Genomic DNA, 23334 nt, shown 5'->3' with positions numbered 1-23334 from the left:
AGCCACCGCGCCCGGCCAGTTCTTAAGGTTAAAACTGGTTATAGATGTGTATGTATCTATGTCATAGTTGAAATTAAAAACAAAATCACAGAATAATCTGTAGAAAAATATATCTTTTTTGTTTTCTTTTCTTTTTTTTTTTTTTTTTCGAAATGGAGTCTCACTCTGTTGACCAGGCTGTAGCGCAGTGGTGTGAACATGGCTCACTGCAGCCTTGACCTCCTGGGGTCAAGCAATTCTCCCATCTCAGCCTCCCAAGTAGCTGGGACTACAGGCGTGTGACACCACATCTGCCTAATTTTTTTTTTTTTTTAAGAGTTGTGTTTTTGCCATGTTGCCCAGGCTGGTCTTGAACTCCTGAACTCAAGCAGTCTTCCCGCCTTGGCCTCCCAAAATGCTGGGATTACAGGCATCAGCCACCATGCCTGACCAAAAATATATCTTTATATATTTGTCACTTGATTGTGTATATCTTAGAAGTGATTATGCAAACCCTGCAACTATTATTGACATTTTCTCCATTTGCAGGTTGTAGAACACGTAGAGCCCTTACGTCCCTACGAATCCCTCGACACCCTGAAACAGTTCCTCCAGTATCATGGCAAGATTTTGTGTTTCTTCTGCCTGTGGGATGACTCAGTCTCAATGTTTGGAGACCGTAGAGAACTCATCCTGCATTACTTCTTGTGTGATGATACTATTGAAATCAAAGAATTGCTTCCACACAGCTCAGGCCGAGATGCTCTAAAAATGTTCCTCCGGAGGAGTAAGCTACCCAAGGTGAGCAGTGGATATAACCACTTTGAATTTGCTTGTGGGTCAAGAGACTAGTCACTGTTTGGAATGTTGTGTGTTATGACTATATGATGATAGTAACCATGCACTAGTGCAGGTATTTAGAAACCTTTCATTTTGTGCCCTCTATTAATACACATCTGTGAAAGTAATACAGAGAATATGATCAATTAGAGTTGGAACATTGAAGTTAAGGCAAGTAAAGGAAAAAAGTCAAATGTAAGAAAAAGCACCTATTCATCATTGAGTTCACATCCAGTTTTATGAAACTAAATGACTCCTTAGTAAAAGAATTGCTTGTGGCTTTGGACAGGGCACTGCAGACTACTGAAGAGAGCCCATGGTTTGGTCTGGGTTGTGAATACAAACACACACTTATACACGTGCACCTACATGTGCATGTACACATGCACTCACAAACATACACATGCAAGTTTACAAACCAAAGTGCCTTTTCTGAATGTAGCAACTAGTCACCAACTAGCCACTAGCTAGTGGCAGTGATGACTTTTGCATTTTATTTAACATTAAAAAGAGTTGTCAGATTGATTTCTACAAATATTTATGGCCATTTGAGAGCTCATGTAATTTGGGTGCAGCAGAAACAGCCCAGACCTGGATTAGAGTTGTGAGTCTGCCCCTTAATAGCTGTGTTACCTTGGGCAAATCACTTAACCTCTTTGAGCTTATTTCCCCATCTTTAAAATGTCATAACATAGTAAAAAAAAAAAACCAAAAAAACACCATCTAAGGACCTGTAAACACCTATAAGGACACTTAAGAACATAAAGGCTTTTTCAAAAGCTCTATGTTATATTTTCTTTCTTATTTGGATAAAGTGTCTTCTTAGTGCACATGAAAAGGTTACCATAATGCTAATTTCCGAGGCAAATAACTGCTGGCCATTCAGTCCTCACCGGGAGGCTTTCCCAGATTCTCTGAGCCCACTGCTGGAAGCCCTACTGCGTTTGCTTGGAGGCAGGAGAGGCACAATTTGTCCCAGAGGGAGCCCTGGGATACCCATAGCAGGCAACCAGGAGGTGTCAGAAAAACCTGTTTTTAGAATGACTTTGAAAAATAGGCTGAATATAAAATAATAATGACATACCTGACATTTACAGTGTGCCAACATTAGTTAATTCATTTTATTCATTCATTCAACAAATATTCATTGAGTGCCACCTCTATGCCAGCCCTGGGGTTATAGTAAGAAAGGGAATGGATTAAATCCTACCACATCTTGTTTTGATTTTGTCTTCCAGAATTGCCCACCTAGAGTCTATCAACCAGGCCAGATAACAGATCGAGCAGTTCTCAATTCATATGGTGACTTTATAAAGAACCAAGCGGATGGCTACCTGTTCGATAGATATAAGGGAAGGAACCTCATATTTTATTACCTGTTTCTAGTGTGACTTCTTTGGAACCTGAACAGTGGGGCGAGTTACGTACTCTTCTCTTGTGAGATTGTGAATGAAATCGATGAATACATAAATGTATGCATTGTACTGCTATTTATCAGTAATAAACATGCTGAAATGTCTATATAAATATATGCAATGCATTGCAGTTTGTAAGTATAATACTACAGTGCTAAAATAATACTTTAGAATATTAACATCAACTGGTTGCTTTTTTATTTGATTTTTAAAATTTAGTTATTAAAGATTGAAGTTTTATTTTTAATTTCCTTTTTTTCTCTGGGAAGGGGTTCCTGGTTCTTTGGAGGGTCCATGGTGCCAATGCTATGTTCCTTTGTCTTTTTTAGCTAGGAAAAGTAGACCAAGAGTTTTACAAAGATAGTGACCTGTCCCTAGGAGTCACCATCAATGTGTGGGGAAGAAAAGTGCTCCTTTATGACTGTGATGAATTTACGAAGTCTTATTATAAGTCTAAATATGGAATTGGTAAGTGATACATATGTCAATTAAAAATATTTTTAAAATTAAATTGTTTGTTCCCTAATTAAGATTTTACTTTGGAGTTTCAAATGCTAGGCTCATAATAGCTACCACTTATTGTGCATTTGCTATCTTCCAGCCGTTTGTTGTCTTATATATTCCTAACAATTCTCTATGGATAGGCTCATTATCCCCATTTTAGAGGTGAAAAAAACCGAGGCTTAAAGGGGGCTCATTTGTCCAAGGTTATACAGTGAGCAAAGAGTGAGCCAAGATTTGAACTTGTCTGCCTGATGCTGGGGGGGTAAATGTTTTGGTTTAGCAATCGAAATGGAAATCTGAATGCTTTTCTTTTCACTTACTTCTTCTTACCACAATGGATATACCTAATTGAGTTATTGAGGGAATTCTCTTCTGCTAGTTTGCTCTACCTTTCCTGGTGAGGCTCAGCCAGGTTTTAAGCTTCTCTCTTCTCAGATATTAACTCCATTCCAGTAAGGTTAGTTCAGTTCAGAATGAAAATGAGTGATTGATTAAGCACCTACTATATGTAGGTCACTGTAGTAGACTTAGGAGATAGAGTTGTGTAAGAGGTTTCTAGGCTGGAAGGGGAACTGAGACCTGCAGCGAGTGACACCGTGTTATGAGTGTCTTGGAAGCTGGCGGAGGATGTGACGTGAAACCTAAAGCATAAACCCTCATTTGTTAAACTCCCCTCTACCTGAGGCTCCAGGTACCTGCTGCTGCTAGGAATTGATGGGACTTGCTGACCTCCCAGTTTGGTACTGGAGTTGGGATAGTGGGTACTTAGTCCTGTACTTCTTTCTGAACCTTGGAGTATTCATATGAACACACTTCCCCGAGGGGCAAGATGGAAGCCAAGTGCAACCGCAGCTTCTTGAAAGACAAGGTGCTTTGTCACTAGAATGAGATGAAGCCATGTTATGTGTCTTGTTGTCCGCATTGTGTAGTATTCCTGGCCTTCTGGGAATCTTTATATTGTGAGAGAAGGCACATCAAGTACACAAGGGGGTTAGAGTGAAAAAGGCTTACAGTTTTACTCTTAGGTTCATTAGGGGAATTTGTTGCACTGCATCTGCATGCCAGATTAGTCAAAATGTATGGGCCCTACTGGGGCCAAATTGGTGGCCTCTTTTTATTTTCTAAAATTAGTCCCCTTCAGTGGACACAGTTGGGCATATTTGCCTTGGGGACTGTGGACAAGAAGCAGCCAGGAATGTGCAGGTGGCAGCTGCTATAGAGAAGCTGCTGGTGGCCCCTAGACTGTGGGAAAAGAATTTGGCCTTTAATAAATGTAGATGCCTGTTTGGAATCCGTCTTTAGTGTAGAATGAAAATTTAAATGTATATATCAAGATGAGTCACCAAAAACCGTAACTTACACCTGATGATTACCTTAATATAAAGGATGTGGTGTTCCAAAGCATTATATGATTCCTTAAACATAAAGTCTAACTTTTGGTTGATGTTTGTCTGTCAGCTTGGTGAGAATATGAAAGTTGCATTTGGGAAAATGAATGTCCTACTGGTGGGACTTAGTATGTTGTTAGGGTCTTAACGGCTTCTCTAGAAAATTTTTTGAGGCAGTGTGAATTCCCTGGTGTGCTCCAAATCGAGCCATCCTGGGTAAATGTATCAGCTTCAAATGTCCTATGGTCCATTTCAGTCGAGTCCTTGTGCTAATTTCTTTCTGTTCACTTCTTTTGTTCACTCCGTGGACTAATTGTATTATGTAAAAAAAAAGTAGTCTGTGCCTCTAAAGCTAATATAACATGAGCATTATGCATTTAAACAGAAAATTATGCAAATGCAAAATTATGATGCATTTCATAGTCACACTGACTTTTTATATTTCTCATAACATATGTTAAAATATCCCATTTAACAGACACTATTATTACACAACATTTCTTGTGTTACAACAGTGTACTTAATGTAAGTAAAGACTAGAAATTATATCTATGATGAGGTGGAGGGGAGAATGAATCAGTGTTCTCTGATAATCTTTGCATTTGCTTTTCCTGATTTTTTGGTAAGGTTAAATTAATATCCTTAATGTTGCTTAGATACAGTTATTTCTGCCATTTTAATTTTATTTATAGTTCATCTGGTCTCAGCAATTTTTTAAATTGACCAAATTACATGCGTTATGTTTTGGTATCCTTAAAACCCAAACCAGGACAAAGTCCCATCAATCATTGTGGTTCTGTCAATAATTGTGGTCACATTTCCTCCTTTGTCAATAATTGTGTTCAGTAGAAAACCTGGGTATCTCCACTGTGCAGCACGCAGGAAGGATCTGACAAGCAGCAGCAACACAGCTAGGGGCGTCTCTAGCAGGAAGTCACGGGAGATTTCTAACGCAGTACGCCGCCTTGGTGCTTTAGTACCTTCTCCTGTGTAATGACACCCCAACATATTTTGGGGGAGAAAAAATGGCAGACAAAGAGAAGGAGTTGGCCACAGTCCCAAGAAAGGTACATGGATAACCTTTCTATTTATGTAGAAGTGGAGGGCTTGCTAAAATTCCAAGAGACATTTGAGCTCCTGTGTAAAACTCAATCTCTTAAGATGATTCCTTCATACATTTAAGGATTCTAAGGAGAAGGTGATTCCATAGATTTCTTCTCTTTAATAGTGCAGTGGGACCCCCTCCATCAGACAGTTTGGCCATCCTGCTGGCCCTGGCTTGCCTGCCAGGCTGTAGCATGTCACTCCCTCATTATTTTATGTGAATGAACACGGTCCGGCAGATGGAGGTCTGTTGATCTTTCCTATAGCATGAAGGTTGAAAAAGGCTCTAGGGGTTCCAGCAGGTGTTTCTTTCACTAAAAGGACAGGGATCAAATGTAAACTGTTCTTACGTAGGAATTTCTGCTTTAGGTTATTATTTGTCTATCAGTGGACTTTCTTATTTTTTCTTAGTGGCTGGGACAATGAAACTAGTAACAAGATTGTTCATTCTTGTTGCTGTTGAACACTTATTGGGCTATGCTTAGATTCAACAAAAATCTTAAAGCACCTTTAATTTTGTGGAGTCATTTCTGGCCATCTCTGAATTTTTAGGAACAGCAGGACATTTAAGATGAGTGTTTAATGATTATTTGAGTGAATTGGACACTTAAAATTGCACCAATAGGATAGAATTGGCTTCTGGTCTCATCACATGGCCCTGATGGACCTAACAATTTTGTTTCTTTTGCTTCCCCTATGAAATGAAGATGGTTGAGATGGGAGGATTCTTAAAGATTTTATAGCTCTAACATAATGTGATTCACGAATTTAGGTTTCATTGAAATCATTTGACATGGGTATTGAATACAAGCACAAGTGGATTTACCTTGAAGCTAATGAAGCGTAATCTTTAGAGGTCTTCCTTTCCAGGGGTCCCAATCCAAGGCCCTGGCCTAACTTTGTCTTAGTAATTTGACATTCTTTGCCTAGAAGAGCTTTGCCCAAATTATTTAAGCTTCCAGCCTCCCAAAACCTGTATTCATCTCTAGGCTACTAGAACATAAGCAGTGAACGTTGAGGTAACTGAAGGCTTTTCCCAGTAGTCTTTCCCACTGAGATGGTGAATAGAAAATCACCACGAAGAAGCATTAAGACTCCTTTGTAATATGTATCATCTGTCTGCCAATTTGTTGGAATCTAGTCAACCATGGATGGGCATTCAATATATATATGTTTTGACAAGTCACTTGGAATTAGAGGAATCAGATAATTAAAAGACATATCTGTCTCAGGATCTAGCAGAATGCCAACTTGAGACATTGGGGAAGATGCTTTGTACAAAAATGTATACTTTTTCATTTATTCAATGAATATTTTTGAACACCTAAAACACGCAGGATGCTGGGATGATGGAAAACCAAAGTGAGGAAACTTGTCATTCAGCTGTGAGTCCAGAGCTTTGTGAACGTATGCAAATTACCCAGATAAATGGGATTTAAAGTTGGATCTTGAGCCAGAGTTTCCAAAAAGATGTATGTGGTGGTATAAAAGTCAGGCATGATGGAGTGGAAAAGTTCTCAGCTTTTATACACTAGATGGCACTGTGGGTGCAGAGGAAAGCTCTAAATTGGTTCTTTTGTTACTTAAATCTGTTGCAAAAATTATATGGTTGAGAAAACAACAGTGTGGTATAAGCCCTGTAATTCTAGGGGGAAGTGTAGAATGCAGTCCTAATTACTTTGAGATTCAATATGTGTCCTCTTTTGGTTAGACTGCTTAGATTGGTATGTAGAGTTGTATGTATATGTCTCCTGTTGAAAGAAACTCCTCAGGCCCAGATTTTTAAATAATCACATACAGCTCTCCTGCCATGGCTATGATGTTCTTCCTGAAATGAAAGACCAAACAGTGGTGTGTTAGATGTAATGGTTAGCAATGATAGAGTCTACTGCAATTCTGCCCAATTCCAAGATTTGAACTCTCCTCTTTATTTCCAAGACTTTTCTTTAAAATCACCATAAAAATAGCAATAGTTGAAGCTCACAAGTCACTTCTGTACTGGCACACTGGCTCCCCCCTTTCACTGAGTCACCTTTATAAACATGTCTGCTGTAAGCAGTCTCTGTTAGGATGTAACAATACTCTTTTGGGGATTGTTTTTGGGGAAATTTCACACAAAGGCTGCTAGGAAGTCTAAGGACATATGAAAGCTGAAAATGTTTTCAACAAGAGTTAGAAGTGGCCTCAAGCCCTTAGCCTTTTGATCATCAGTTAAAAAACAAAACAAAACAAAACAAAACAAAAACCAAACAACCACCTTAATATTAAGAGTTAGGTTATCTTGGATGAAAAATTGATCTCCATTTTCTCTTCCGGAGGTGTGCACTAAAATTTGTACTCTTCCTCTATGGGAACTTTGACAGTGGAAAAGGAAATATTTGCTTATGTAGAACTCCTTTCATACAGGATTGAAAACACCTATGTCATACTGAAGCTTGGGGAAGAAGTAGAAAATAGATTCTGTGGGAGTTTGTTTTGTTTTGTTTTAGGAAAGATGTGGCATCTTTTTTTGCCATTTATGTTGGGGACAAACACAGTGACTTGGATAGACCAGGTCAATATGTTCCTTGCTCTGGAGAGCACGGTTGCTTCTGAGATTGTACAGCCTCGCAAATGAGTACCTGAAAGCTCCTAGGCTATTACAAATATGTTACCAGCTCTCTCTCCACCTCTCTTTCCTCACAGATGATAAGTATATAAATAAAATCAACAGTATTTACCGCGTAGCACTCCCTTGGAGAGAGTAGGCAGTTGGCTATTTTAAAAGTTTTTTCTTTTTCTGTTTTGTTTGTTCGCTTCATTGCATTTGAGTGCAATTGTAGTCTTTTCTTGGGCTTAACAAAAGCTACCTGGGGCCGTGGCTGGTGAGAGGAAAGTTCTGTTTTGGTGTTTGTTTTTGAACTACATAGGGAAGTACTATGACCTGGAGTTACTTTGGAGGCAATGGAGGGTACTCAAATACAGGGTGCAGTAGGAGGAGATGGTGGATGGGGAAGGATAAAGGTGAATAGTCAGGAGTAAGTCCTGTTTGGAAAAGAATTTTATTAGTGAGTGTTGACTGAGATAGGAGAGGGCTAAATTACAGGTTAAAATGTGGAACGAGTGGCCTAAAGTTTCAAGTTTGAATTTTCATATTATTGGAAAAATCAGAGGAGAACAAAAAATATTCAGAAATGGGAATGTGATGACAAAATATAAACGTTTACTTATTTGACATAGATTCTTTTTTTTTTTTTTAACTTTTGAACCAATGGTGATTATTAAGTGAGTTCCATGGTTTTTGTAAACATGATTGAAAAGTACTCTCACAGGATTTTGCTGTTTTGTTTGAAAGAGTTTAAAATAGTCTACAAAGATCTCCATGTTCATCTTGAAAACATAACAAACCTTTCAAAACAGCCATAATCAGGGCAAAAAAAATATTGATGTTTTGTTTGCCTTTGTTTTGTTCTAGAGAACTTTACCTCAGTTTCATGCAAGCCTCCTTCTCCTCCTCCAAAAATAGAAAGGAAATTTCCACCTTACAACGGTTTTGGTTCTGAAGAGGATTCTCTCCGTAACTGCATAGACCTCAAGCCCACACCTCATCGGAGGAACTTCAAGAAGTTTATGGAAAAAGACAGGTGCTTGAGGGAACCATGATTTTAGTCTGATCTTTCCCAAATGTGTTTGGGGTTTATAACATAGTTCTCATGACGAAACAGATGTCACGCAGCTCATCTAATTGCAAGTCCAGGGAGACATTATTATAGGCTTTTAATGAGGTTGATTAACATGCACGTATTAACAGGTTCTTACCTGAGTGCTTATTTTAATAAGTATCATCTGGAGGCCCCTAAAGTAATATTATCTCTAGTCTATGTTGCCTTTCCATATCTATCTATATATCTGTCTCCCGAAAATAGGAAAGATGTAGAGTAGGAGTTAACAAGCTCTTTCTTAAAGGGTCAGATAGGAAATATTTTTGGCCTTGTGGGCCATACGGTGTCTGTCACAACCACTCAGATCTGCCTTTGTAGCGTGAAAGCACCACAGACAGAATGTAAATGATTGTGTGACTGTGTTCCAATAAGACTTTTTTTATGGACACTGACATTCAAGTTTCATGTAATTTTTACATATCACAAAATATTACTCTTATTTTGATCTTGCCAACCGTTTCAAAATGTAAAAACCATTCTTATCTCAAAAGTCATATAAAAACAGGTGGCCTGGTAGATTTGGCTCACTGACTGTGGTTTGCCAACCCCTGCTATAGAGATTTCAAGGATTTATACGTGTTTTTAAAAGTGTTATTTGGTGATTAATGTTGTTTTCACTTGAGAGGTTGGTTGAGTTCAGTAACCATAGGTTTCTCACTTGGCTGAATATAATTTTAAATGATGGACTTTCAGAAGTATTCCTAATAGACATGGAGAAAAACCTGCCTGTAAATCATGCATATAGAATGTAGACACTGCCCTCGGCTACTTTTTGCTTCTGCAGGGAGAGCAGGCCCTGGAGAAAGAAGTCAGGGGAAAAGTGGTGGGGAAACATTGTAGGTGCTTGAATAGGATGTGGGCTAAGGGTTACAGTCCTGTGTGAGGGAAATAATGGATAAGGAGATTCTGGGGAGAAGCAGTGATAAAGGGAATGTGGTAAGTCTAGGAGAAGGAGAAGAAAAAGACATCCTGAATTTCATAAAATTGATTGGGGTCAGGTGCTGTTGTAGCACATTTGAAGGAGAGAGAACAGTAGTTATGTTGTATCTATAAAAGTGGTAAAAATTGATTAAGAATTATATAGAATGTCTTAAAGTCTGCCTTTGCTATGACATGATGTCCTTTGTCTTTCTAGAAATAATCTTTTACTTTTAAGGATTTTAGGGTTCTATTTTTAAGTTTTAGATTTGATGCTTCTCAGGAGTGGTCCCTGTACTTTTTAGAAATGCTAATTATTGTGTCTCCCCCACCCCCAGACTGACTGAGATAGAAGCTCTGGGGAAGGGGCCCAACATTCTGAATTTTCTCAAGTCTTCCAGTGGATTCTGAGACACACCAGTGTTTGAGAACCACTGATTTTTATCACATAAGAGGGTTGCCAGCTTATACTCTGTCCTCCCTTATCGAGAACAGTGTTTAGGTGAGGTTCCAGGGTAGGACTTTTGATGGCTAACTGCTGTTTTTAAGGACAGCCACCCGAAGGAGGCGGGCAGGAAGAATGTCCCTATTGTAAAAGGAGAGGGAATTTTTCTTATAAGTAAACAAGATGAAATATTATCCAGGGTGTTGTTTCTGGAACCCAGGGGAAAACCGTTCTTTGTGAGTAGTTGACTTAGTCCCTCTTTCTGTCTACACTGGGTAAACTTGCCCACAGAACACTGACTGTAGATGGTATTCCATGTTCTTTTCATGTTGTCCTGGCTGGAGAATGGTAGTATAGGCACAAATGTCTCTCATTTTGTTCTTTCTGTCCACTGCTCAATCTGTGCCAGGAATACACTTTCCTCAAGCTCTTCTCACACAGGGACCATGTTTCCATAGTAACTAGCACATTCGGCTGGAGACTTATAGATGAGTTTGAATAACCCAAGGTTTTAAAACTGTAAGAACCTAAGGAAGATGATTTCACAAAGCATACAAAGAATAGTTTTTTAAAATACAAATAAACTGTGAATTGAGACATGGAATTGTACATGACACATTGATTATATATATATTGCTATTAAAAATGTACTTGGTGCTATTATTATGAGGTTAATGCTGATCTATGAGTCATTGGAGGGAATAGTTTCAGATTAAAGCATATGAGCTTTTGATGGATATAAAGATCTTCTTTATTATCTGGGTAGATATCACTGCGGTAGCCTGCTGGGCAGATTGTCTAGTCTGAGGAGGGAGAACCAGGATAATATCTTTCTTGCTGCACCAGGCTGAATTAGTTACTCTGTTCTTTGTGTGCCCACAGTACTCTGTTGATTATATTTCTAATAATAATATTACTACTATTACTGATTACTCATAATAAGCCATTAGTGGTTACTATGTGCTATGTTACAATACTTAATCTAATTTAATCATCAAATCCTTGGAAAGTAGATAATGTTATTGTACCCATTTTTTACATGAGAAAACTGAGGCTCAGAGAGGCCATACAACTTCCTCAAGGTGACACAGCTAATTTTTAGCTGAACTAGGAACTGAACCCAGGGAAATCTGACTTCTGGAATTTACCTGTCTTTCGACAGAACCTATACATATAACAGTGCATCTTAATGACTTGTTTATGTAATTTGTGGGCTCCTTTTAGACCAAGAGCTCCTTGAGGGCAGGGGCCAGCTTTATTGCTTCCATAAGAGTTAGTGCTGGCTATATATTTGGGGATCAATAGTTTGTCTAAGAAGAGAAGGAATGGATGAAGAAGTGAGCAAATAGAATAAATGTTCACTCATCCAGTTCTTAATCATGGATAGAAGAGACAGATGACTTCTCACCAGGAGGGTTATTATACCAGACTTGTGCCAGTCATAACCATATAGCATCCAAAAATTCATGGTTTAATCTTCATCTCTGTCTTGTTACAGATATTGTCCATCTGCTGTCCCCACCAGTCATTTTTTTTCTTCTTTTAAAAATGTTTCCCCATTAATAAAAATAAGCCTTCATGTGTGTTCCAACCATAAGACTCTATAGCTCTAGATATATTTGAGGTTTTTAGTAGGTGTATAGCCCTGGATGAGCCATTCATTATCTTAGTGAATAACTAGTTCTTGAATCCCTGCTGTGTGCCAAGCAGTGTTCTGGGTGTTTGTGATACATCAGTGAACAAAATAGACACCAAGGCCTGCCATCGTGGAACTTATATTCTAGTTCTGGGAGGTGGACCATCAATTAATACATAAGTAAATTATGAAGTATTTACAAGATGTTAAGTACTGTGAAAAAAATAAAGAAGGTATTAAGTTGCTGTGGAAAGAATAAAGGCAGATTGGGAGTATGGGGCTGAGGAACATTCCTGGTTGCAATTTTAAATAGTGTGGTCTTGATGGACTTTACTGAGGAGAGGAAATGTGCTCCAGGCAAAAGGAACAGTCGGTGTAAAGGCCCTGAGCAAGAAGTGTGCTTGGGATGTGCAAGGAGCATCCGGGAGGCCGACATGGATGGAGTAGATGAGTAAAGAGCAGAGCACACAGAGAGGAGATGAGAGTGTATGGGGGACTGGGTACACAGGGCTCTACAGACTGTTTAAGGATGCTTTTGACTTTGAGTGATAAGGGGGCCATTAGAAAATTTGAGCAGAGAAGTGACTTGAGCTGATTTTCTTCTTAAAAGAATCATTCCAGTGTAGTGTTGAGGGCAGACTATAGATGGCAGTGGTGGAAATTAAGACTGGGTAAGAAGCTACTGCAGTAGTCCAAGAGAAAAGTTTTGGTGGCTCAGATCTGGGTGAGCGCAGTGGAAGTGATGAAATTAATTAGTGGATCCTGGAATTATTTTGAGGGTAGGGCCAGTGGGATTCCCTGACAAACTGGATATGAAGTATGAAAGAAGTGAGGAGTTAAGATGACTCTCAAGATTTGGGCTTGAGCAACTGGAAGGGTGGAGTTGCCATCTACTGAGATGAGAAAGACTGGAGATAGGGTAGGTTTAGGGACAAGAGTAGAAGTTCAGTTTTAGAACCAGTTAAGTTTGGGATGTCTATTAGATATCAAGTGGCAATACCAAGTAGGCAGTTGGATACATGTGTGAGTATAGGGTTCAGAAGATAGGTGAATGTGGATGCCATCAGCATGTAGATGGTATTTAAAGCCATGATACCAAATTGTATTAAAGCCTTGAGATTGGATGAAATCACCAAGGGAGTGAATATACCTAGAGCAGAGCATGACCAAGGAATAAACTCTGGAACATCCCCAATTAGGAGCTTGGGGAAAAAAGGAGGAACCAACAAAGGAGACTAAAAAGGAGCAAACAAGGAGGTAGGAGCACAACCAAGAGAATGCTGGATCCCGGAAGCCAGTGAAGCAAGAGTAACACTGAAGGAGTGATCATTTGTGCCAATTGCTGCTGATTGGTTAAGTTAGATAGGCACAAAAAATTAAGCATTGGAATTGGCACCGTGGAGATCATTGTTGACCTCTACAAGAGCAGTTTAGGTAGAGCAAACCTAATGGAAATGGATTCAAGAGAAAATGGGAGAAGAATTTGAGGTAATGATTTTAGATAACTCTGGGCTGTATGTAGAAAAAGTTAAGACATGGCTTCTTGACCTAGGAACTTATAATTTGTTTGGGGACAACGGGAATAAACACATTTTTAAAACAACCATCCAAGAGTAAAAGTCTATATAGAGCTAAATTGGGTGTGGCCTTACAATTGATGCAGGAGGTATAAGTAGGTGGTCAGCTGGAGCATTGTGATAAAAAAGAATATTCTGGGAAGTTTGAAAAGTAGTTATTAGGGAAATATCTGAAAACATTTGCAGTGCTTCTCAAAGTATGCCCAGGGGACCACCTTATCAGAATCTTCTGGGGTGCTTATTAATAATGCAGGTTTCTGGAGATGTGAGCTAACTACTGAATCCCCCCATATCTCTGGGGATTGGACTCTGGATTCTATATATTTAACAAGCTCCCCAGGTGACTTTTATATATAATAAACTTTGTGAACTGCTATTCTAAAAGTTTTATTGAGTAGATTATATTCTCAATTGATGAGATCTCCAGAACACTAGATTTAGGTGAAAAAAAAAAGGCATATTGAACGTGTGAAAAACCCACACTTAACATGTACACTTATAAATTATAAGAAGTTAAATTTACAGTAATATTCCTTTTCCTGAAGTTAGACCTTCCTCAGTTGTTTCAGTGATATTTCTAGTATCTGAAATGTTATGGCTTTCTTGTGTGAGAGGGGCTACCAAATCTATTTGTTACATATAAATCCAATTATATACCAGAGAAGATGGTTGACAAGGCATAGCTTCCCCCCACACTATATGAGGTCTGTCTGAAGCCTGGAAACTGGGTACAGAGAAAACAGCCATGCAGACCTGGCTGCTTTGCTCAGGCTGTTCTGGGGTGAGCCTTCCAAACTGCTGCACACCGTCTCACATGGGGCCTCAAGCCTAGGAATCTTGGTGCTATCCTTTTTCAGCCCGGATTCTTGTACAGCCTGAGAAAGGAGCAGAGAAAAGCACTTTTTGCCTCTGCAAATCAGAAATACTTGGTTTATTTTTTAAATCACTGTGAACACAAGGAAAGAATGATTTTCAGTATAGGAGACCCTGCAAGGGAAGACTTCTCTGCTTAGAGTTGTGACAGAGGACATGGTTTATTCTCCTGTGTACCTCCCTGGGGTAATGATTTTAGTTATCAAAGACCTCTCCAAGGGTTTACTGTTTCTTACAAAGTCCACCTTTCACTAGCGGATATCCACAGACATGCTTCTGCTACAGACCATAAATCAATTTCTTCAGTGACCAGGCAATCAGCTTTGGTAACTTTTAATTCTATAATTTGATCCTATCTTTAGTCTACTAGACTATTCTATTTATGCATAGAATTCTGAGTGCAAATTCCAATCAATACAGATCTCATAACAATTTTCCATAAACATTTATTGAATACTTACAATGTAAAAAGTATTATATTAGATAATGGTTAATAAGACAATCTTTGTCCTTGGAAAACAGACTTGTAATGGCTTACAATACGAGTGATAAGCACTATTTAAAAAAAAAAAAAGGTGGGTCTATCATATTTGTTATAGCATTTGAAAAGGAAAAGTTAATTTTTCCCTTGAAGGAAGTTGGGGGGTTGCTGGGGAGCTGGAGGAGTGAGTCTGAGAGGGGAGGATGTGGGCTGGAAGACAGAAAAGTAAAGGGCATGAGACAGTGAGTGGTGAATGGGGGAGGTAGCCCCAGATACTGGCAGAGCCCAGGATTGCCCAGGCAGTAGGGCTAGGTGCTTGCTCTTCTTTCCAGCATGATTATTGTGATTGGTGACTAGCCTTGTCATTAGAGAACAGCCTGTTAGTGCAGCTGGTTTGAACAGTGTGTTTATGACGTTTGTTTTGGGTTCATTTTCCCAATGTGTTACCCAGGACATGTAAAGAATCAGAGATATCTTAATATACTGAGAAAATTCCTCTGCATTTAGATTTAGAACCTTAATTAGACGATGGTTGAACTCTTTCACTTTGGACAGTTTATGCCTACTATATTAAAGCCATATTATATCTTTTGCAGACTTTTAAAAACATAATATGTGGAAGATTACCTGTATAATGCTCTAACTCTCATTTCTCTTCCATTTAGCTATGGCTCCAAAAGCAATATACTCCGTTTTTTTGCAAAACTAGTCACAGACAAATGTGTTGACTTGGACAGGATGTTTGTTATTTCATATTATCTCGGTGATGACACCATTTCAGTGTTTGAACCTATAGAGAGGAATTCAGGTAAGAGATATACTCTTCACAGTATTTTCTTGAGAACATTTTAAGTGTCTCTTCATGTTGAAAATTAGGGAACATGATCTGATTTTGTAGCTTAGATTATCTACAATAGAGGCTTTATAAAAAAAAACCCTGAACAATAGGGTTCTTTTTACAGATCTCTTAAATGGGAACCTAAACATTTAAAATGATAGAAGTGGAACAGTTTTGGTTGGCTTAGGGCTGGGAGACCTGGGGTTACCTCCTTCTTGCCACTATCCCCACTTCCGCTGTGGCCTCTGAGGTACCTCTGTGGAACCCAAGGGCTTCAAAATCATGGTCTGAGTACCACTAGTTTTACTTGTATCCAGCAAGCCAAGAGGAAGTCTGTATTCTTGGTAGTCCTACTTACAACATTTTTGTTTGGCTGTAAGACAAGAATCCCAGATACACAAATTCAATCGTCAGGGTCCATCTTTATCTGGTCCTTCTGTCTGTTGAGGTTGTTGCCAAGGTTCCAGCACTCAGGCCCACAGAATGCCTCTCTGTAATATGCTGGTACCACTGTCATTGCTGAGGAGAGGCATTGACTTGCCCAATCATGGCACTGTAGGATCCTGTTCTTTGTCTCAACATGTTTAGAACTTTTATCAGTGCTGAAGACACGCATTTGGGAAGAATAATCAGTGATGTGCTGGTTAACTGGCTCTTTGAAAATATTTTAAAAGCCCTGATTTGTACTGTTTGCCAGTTTCCATGGTGTGAATACCCCAACCATGGCCAATTTCAAGCAGCCAAGAGTTTAAAAACTGGCTTGCAAAATCTCTGAAAATTCAACTGTCAGCTCCTATGAGCTGGTATGAGCTACTTAGCACACCAATGAGTAAGGAATAACTTGTATAACTAAGGCTCCAGAGTGATTTGAATAATGGATCAAATCTTAAAATATGAAATTGCCTAGGGATGAATATAAGTCATGCTCTTACAGGTCAAAAATCAACTCTATACACTTAGAATGGGGAAGATGTGGCCAAACAAGTTGCAGCATGTATGAAATAGAAAGGAGTGATGGTAGTCAACAACAAGCTTACTAGTAATCCTAGTGGCCATGATTGAGAACTTACTATTATCCTTACAAGGACTTTATGAGGTTAGGTTTTGTGTTAGTCCAGCTCCTCTAAGAAGCAAATGCCAAGACAGGATTAAATATGCAAGAGATTTAATAGGGGGAATGCTGGTGAGGGAAAATGTGGAAGGAGCCAGAAGAGGCTGGGAGAGCTGTCAGACTGTAGTGCAGTTCTGATGCTTGTGAAGCACAGAGGGAAGGAAGAAAGAGGGAGTCTTAGACTGCAGTGAAATTCTAAGAAAATTTCGACAAGGTTGACAGGGAGTCCTTGAGGCAAAGTTGCTAGTTGGAGGAGTCCTTGTTTTGTAGGAGTGAGCCTGTCTTACTGTCCCTGCCTTGCTCACTCATCTGTTGGCAGCAGCCTGTGGGAAGAGTGACCTCAACACACACCTGAAGATTGATTTAAGAACACAGCAGCTGGGGCCTTCCATCAGTTATGTTCCCCACTATAGGCGACCTGAGAAGTACATTTTCAGGGCCTCCACACATCTGATTCCCATTTTACCAATAAGAATTCAGAGAGATTAAATAACTCCTAAAGATCACCCAGCGAGCGAACAAATGACAGAGCTCGGAAGCCTGTGTCTTTTTACCACCTATCATTTTTGAATGTGGTAGGAGGAGTGGGATGAAGTGACCAAAAAGCTTATCTGGTCTCAGGCTATATTTATAGGTCTGTAGATTTCAGTTCAGTATCAGAAGATCCTGGAGTTCCCTGTTCAACTCTACTGGCTACTTTCCAAGAGGTCAAAACAAATAATGTCTAGAAGAGAACAGATGAAATGATGACAGTTCTGGAAAGTAAGAAATATGAGGCATTACTAAAAGAAGCAAAGGAATTTTACCTGTAGGAAAAAAAGACTTAAGGGGACTCCCATAGTTATCTTTAAACACTTAAGTAATCTCCTTTACAGAAGTAGGGCATTTGCTACCTAATCTGCACGTCAGATTAAGTATAAGACATCATCTGGGACAAATAGGTGGAAATAAGCACAAGTGAGGAATTTTCTAACTGGTACTGTTCAAACGTGCTCTAAAGATGAGTGCCTTCCTGATGTTCCACACTCCCAGTATGCTGCTGGGCATATATAGGAGGTCCTTGCCAAGTGTTTATTGGACTGGGAAGGGAGTAGACAGAGAGAAGAAAAGGCTAGAATTACACACCATTTTTTCTCTGTTTTTTCTTTTTTTTGTTTTTTTGAGATGGAATCTTGCTATGCTGCTCAGGCTGGTCTTGTACTGCTGGCCTCAAGTGATCCTCGTGCCTCAGCCTCTTGCGTTGCTGGGACTGCAGGCACATGCCACCATGCCTGGCTTTGCTTTTTGTCTTGAACATCCTCACCTAGGAAGTCTTATTTCTTCACTCACTGCCTCATTCTTCCCTTAAGTCCAAAAATAACAGGCAATATGAGTTCACAGGTAACTTATATGGTGGTCTGTGCTTGAAGATAAAGTAACTCTGAAGGCAAGTCACGTGGTTCTTTTAAGAATAAAGGCTGCTCATGAACTTTTCTATTTTTTATAGGAATTGCTGGTGGGATGTTCTTGAAAAGAAGTCGCGTTAAGAAGCCTGGACAAGAAGTCTTTAAAAGTGAACTATCTGAATATATCAAGGCCGAGGAGCTGTACATTGGAGTCACGGTGAATGTGAATGGTTACCTATTTCGTTTGCTCAATGCTGATGAGTATACCTTAAACTACATGGAGCAGAATACAGATAAGGTGAATTTACTTTGTATAATTCTTGACTTGCCTCTCAGCCCTCCGCAGTCTGTGTTTTTCTTTCTCTAGGGCCTTTTCTTCTTCATCTTGCCACCAGTTGTACATTGTGCATTCACACATGTGGGCATGAATAATGGATTCGTGTGACTTGGCCACATGTCCCATCACAGAGGCCAGGTTCTTGTCTACTCTGTTTACATGCTGGGTTCTCTTCTGCCCAGCATCACGGATTCCAGGCACAGGCAGGAGGCAGGGCCAGGGTTGAATCAAGTTTCCTGGGTTTTCTGCTGACGCTAACAATGTTTTCAGAAAGAAATTCAACAACTATAGGAAAGGAAGAAAAATCTGGTGCCACACACTGTGCCGTCCCAGTTAATTGGCACAGGCCAACAGAGAAGGCCAAGACCTGAACAAACAGAAACCTCAAGGGAACTGAATAGTTGCTGGGTTTACAACTTCCCATAACAGTAGCCACCTGAGGCCTAAATAAGGATTTAAGGATAAACTGGCAACAGTGAGCTCAAAGAGTTTTTTTTTTTGAAATAAGATGGCAGATGGGTACTGTTACTGCAAGTGCCATTATGGCAATGCTGTTCGGTAAAAATAACATATTGATAAAATCTTGATTTTAAATGTGGACTAGTTCGGTGTACAAACATGTTTATTTGGGAGTCATTGCCTAATATGGAAAAATCTATCTGGAAAATTTTATTTTAAAAGTTTACCTATAAGTGATAATATTTATGTGCCATTTATATACATACAGTGCCAATTTTGTCTCATTTATATATAAAATGGCTGGGGTTAAGTTGCTAAGATTGATGTCTCTGTGTACATCACATCATTCATATCAGTTTGGATCCTCTGAGAAGCAGACGCCAAGACAGAATGAGAAGTGTGAGAGATGTTGTGGTGGAAATTTCTGAGAAGGATAAAGGGGGAGGGGGCAGGAGTGGGCAGGGGGGACCTTCAGACCGGGAGGCAGGTTGAACCCCTATGGAAGGAGAGCGAAAGGAAGGAGGAGGGGTGGGTAGGGAGAGCCTCAGCTGACAACACAGCTCTGAGAAAGTCTCAACCAGGCTGATGGGGAGCCCCAGAGCACAGACTGCCCATCAGAGAGGTCCCCTGTCAGGCAGGAATCACCTGGTTCTAGTCCCCCTGCTGTGCTGTGTCATTGGGTGGGAACAGCTTGGGGAGAGTGTGGCCCCAGCAGCGACATTGCCTGTGAACTCTGTGTGAATCCGGAAGGTATGGCAGCTGGAGTCTGTCAGCCAACAATGCTCTTCTCCACAGGGTCTCTCTTGATAGGAGGCCTGAGAAGCGCCCTCCATGGCTGCCATGCCATCTCTCCATTTGTAGTCTTAGGGATTCAGGTTATCATAAAACCTTGAACCAGTAGCTATTCGAAAACACTGAATCTAGATGAGAAACTCAGTAATTGGGAGTTTAGATTTCTGGAGACCAGCAGGCCTGGCTTGGGAACCTGACTCCACATTAATAGCTGAGGGACCTTAGATATTGTATTTTTCCTGAACTTCAGTTTCTTCATCTTTGGAATGGGAGGAACAACAGTGCCTGTTTGATAGAATTGCTATGAAGATTAGATGTGATAATGTGTATGAAGCGCTGAGCTAACCATGAGGCCCATGGTAAGCTCAATCAGTGTTGCTATTGTAAATTAGAGTTCTATTTCTAATCAGAGGGTGAGCCTATACCTTAATATAAAATATATATAGCATAAATATAAGATATAAAGGTTTTTTTTTCCTTTGAGGACAATAAAAGCAGGGTAGGACATTATCTGGAATCAGCATCCCAAGTCAAAACTGCATTATTTTAAAACTGCCCTTAACAAAGACATTCTAAGCAGAGAAGGATTGCTATACTATTTAATATCAGCCTGAGGAATCTTTTCAAAAGAGCTAATAGATCCTGTCATGGAAATAGATGAAAGGAAATGCAAAAAAAGTGGGAGGAGTAGGGGTCTGCGATAGGTGCCAAACCACCTGGATCATTTTCTGGTGGGAGAGAGGGATCTTTAGACTAAATTGCCATCAATATTTTTATTTTAAAATTTAATCTCATTTTTGGTCTCTTACCTATAATTATTTACGACCTTATGTTTCACTGGATGCAAGAAGTATTCTTACCAAGTCAAAAAGCTAGTCACAGGATAAGAGACAGGAACAGTGGACGGCCCAGAGAATGACTGTGCGAGGGTTAGGGTGCTTGCGTGGATCTTTGATACCCAGCCTTGCTCTCATCAGTGCGTTGCCTAATGGACAGCAGTTCCAGGGGGACCCCATTCTAAAGATCTAGAGAAAATGGAGGGCTACTTATCCAGTTTTGAATCCCCATTTTCTCCATTAGGATCTCCCAACATATTGGGCCACTATCCAAGGGTTAGAGGGAGGAGGCTGAGATGGAAGCAGGGGTTGTTTTCTGATCTCTGTGGCCTGGTGTTCCTTAAGCTCATTTCCCTCAGAGCTGGGGCCTATGCTGATGTCAGCTGTTGTCCAGAAGCTTTAATTGAGGAGATACAAAGCTAGTCATGCCTTCTCGGTGTTGGTTTCTTTGCAAAGACAAATCTGCTAACTTCATATTCACAGTGTGAAGTCCCTTTGCTGGCCATCAGCAAGATTGGGCTCCTGAACTGTTAGGAATATTTAAATATGTTTTTCCTTTCATTTCCCCCTTACAGTATCCTTTCAGTAACCTCAAACTTGCCCTACAAAAGCTGAAGCAAGAAGAAGGAAAATCCAGAGAGCTCAAGCAGGTATTTAAAGCTGCTGACTCTAAGCACACAAATATGGTGGATTATAATACATTCAGGTAAGCCATATTCTGCTAACAATCACCTGTTTTCCCCTCAAGGTTGTCCAAAGAACAGAGAGAACTATTTCTTTCCTAATCAGTTAACTATTTTTTATTAGGAATTGGCATTTCTTTGAGTTTGTATTATTTTGTGGTAAAGTTTTGGCCACGAATACTCTAGTAAATGTTACGAATTTACATATAAAAGGAGTTTGTACATGAGAACAGAGGGACAAGAGCATAGAAAGTCAGCTGGTCACATTGTCTTATGAATCAGGAGGTTGAAGGATCAGCAGAATGCCAGGAATGATGCATCTGAGTGAGAAAGACAGAAAAAAGCACCGCTAAGAGCACGTCCTCCCTACCAAAATCTGGGGGACAAAGGAGGGACATCTCCAGGAATGTGATGAAGTTGGAAAATAGTAAAAACTTCACCGATTATCAGAGCAAAGGTGATATGTATGCATCTGTGTATACATGTGCTTACACACATATGTGTATTCTGAAAGACATGAAAATATAGGAATCGAGGGAAAAATATATGACAGTAGTTGGAAATATTATAACAAATCATGATTAAGATTTTCTCTAAGGTGAAGCTGAATTCTGGGACTATCCAGTGGCTGACCGAGGCAAATTTCCAAACAGCAGAAACACAGGGAAATTCAAATTCAGGGTCTAGTACAATCGTGAGACTTCTTAGGCTGAAAACAAAGTGAATGGAGCATTTAGGAGAATAAATTAAATCATGGATGGAGGACAAAGGGGACTTTCTCTTTAGGCTGAGAATTCTGGCTCCTGACAACGATAGTGGCTGAAAGCTATATAGTAAACTCCGCTTGATGCAGTCAAGATGTGGGCTGAGAAATGAGGAAGTGAGCCCAGGAGAGGGTAGCAGGGAGGTCTTTCCAACTTTGTGTCTGCAGTCGCCTATTGCATCACTACCTGGTGGCCTGGAGCCCACCATTAGGCCCAGAGTGTCCCAAGAGCTCATTTGTTGTTTTAACAAAGCTCTTTTGTGTCTCCAAAATGTTCTTTGGAGAGAAGCAGTCAGAGGACATATTTTTATTGTTTAGAATTCCCAACCTTCTGGGATCAATAAGAATTTATAGTTCTTTGTTATTGTTCATAGTCACATACACATGTTCATAGTGTTTTGGAAAATAAATGGAGACAGTAAAGAGCAGAGACAATTACACAGGCCATGGGCTAATGGAAGGCAGTGGAGGTGAAAGCAAGAAATTTCCATCAGAAATGAGGGAGTGGTTTCGTTTTATTATTTGTGTCCTTTTACAAAAGCATCCATTTTTCCAGCACTCGCAAAGTCTATTGGAAACACTTTAGTGAGTTTATAGGGCTTTTTGGGAAGCACTTAGGCCAGGCAGGCGATCCAAGGAGGAAAAGTTGCTTTGCAGATGGAGGCCTGACCCTAATTGTGGGTGGGATAAAGGGCCACTACGCTGTGATTGGAGGGGTGGCCTCAAGGAGCTGCATGCTCTAAAAGAAGGACCTCCCCGTCCCAGAAATTCCTTAAAATGAAACTCAGATCAGGTTTCGCCTGGCTTGAAAAATCCTTCAGTGGCTTGCCATTGTCCTCACAATAAGATCCAAACATTTGACTGCAGCCAGCAAGGCCTTGAGTGATGTGAGTCTGTTTGTATTTCCAGTGTCATCACCTCTTTTTCTGCAGCCCTGTCTTTTGGCCTTACTGACTGTCTTTCGGTTTCTCAAACACATCAAGCTCTTTCCTGTCTCTGAGCCTATGCACACCAAGTTCCCTCTGCCTGAAATGCAGTCACCACCATCCTCTGCATGGCACACTCTAGGACTCATCTCAAATGCCAACTCCCAGAGGGGCTTTCATTCAGAGGGGCTTTCTAGATCCTATCTAGAGTAGATCACCTGCTGTTATTCTTAGCCACTTGTTTATATTTTTCACAGCACTTAGCACAACTTGCAGTTATTTTATTTAGAGATCTGTTTACTTGGGGGTGGGGTATCTATGTGTATGTGCTGTGTGTGTCTTC

The 23334-nt window shown here is 40.0% G+C and overlaps 1 protein-coding gene across 4 annotated transcripts in view, besides 1 other annotated feature; it reads left to right on the top strand.

Annotated features, from left to right (window-relative positions):
- The window catches only part of EFHC2 (EF-hand domain containing 2), a 195801-nt gene that overhangs the window by 92699 nt on the left and 79768 nt on the right, over positions 1-23334 (top strand). For all 4 annotated transcript variants that reach the window (XM_047442535.1, NM_025184.4, XM_006724562.3 and 1 more), the window contains 7 exons: positions 529-780; positions 2058-2171; positions 2564-2702; positions 8685-8853; positions 15527-15669; positions 18297-18493; positions 21195-21325. In XM_047442535.1, the coding sequence (XP_047298491.1) occupies positions 529-780; positions 2058-2171; positions 2564-2702; positions 8685-8853; positions 15527-15669; positions 18297-18493; positions 21195-21325 (1145 nt within the window). The remainder of the gene's footprint in view (positions 1-528; positions 781-2057; positions 2172-2563; positions 2703-8684; positions 8854-15526; positions 15670-18296; positions 18494-21194; positions 21326-23334) is intronic.
- Positions 22246-22295: a silencer, noted in NCBI's record as "silent region_20782". NCBI's record gives its function as "represses an Ori minimal core promoter by ATAC-STARR-seq in GM12878 lymphoblastoid cells {active_cell/tissue: GM12878}" and the evidence as "EXISTENCE:reporter gene assay evidence [ECO:0000049][PMID:35858748]".

Source organism: Homo sapiens, chromosome X (assembly GCF_000001405.40).
Source record: "Homo sapiens chromosome X, GRCh38.p14 Primary Assembly".
NCBI classification, from domain to species: domain Eukaryota; kingdom Metazoa; phylum Chordata; class Mammalia; order Primates; family Hominidae; genus Homo; species Homo sapiens.
Note: the sequence above shows the minus strand (reverse complement) of the source record. Positions and strands in the feature narration are given on the sequence as shown.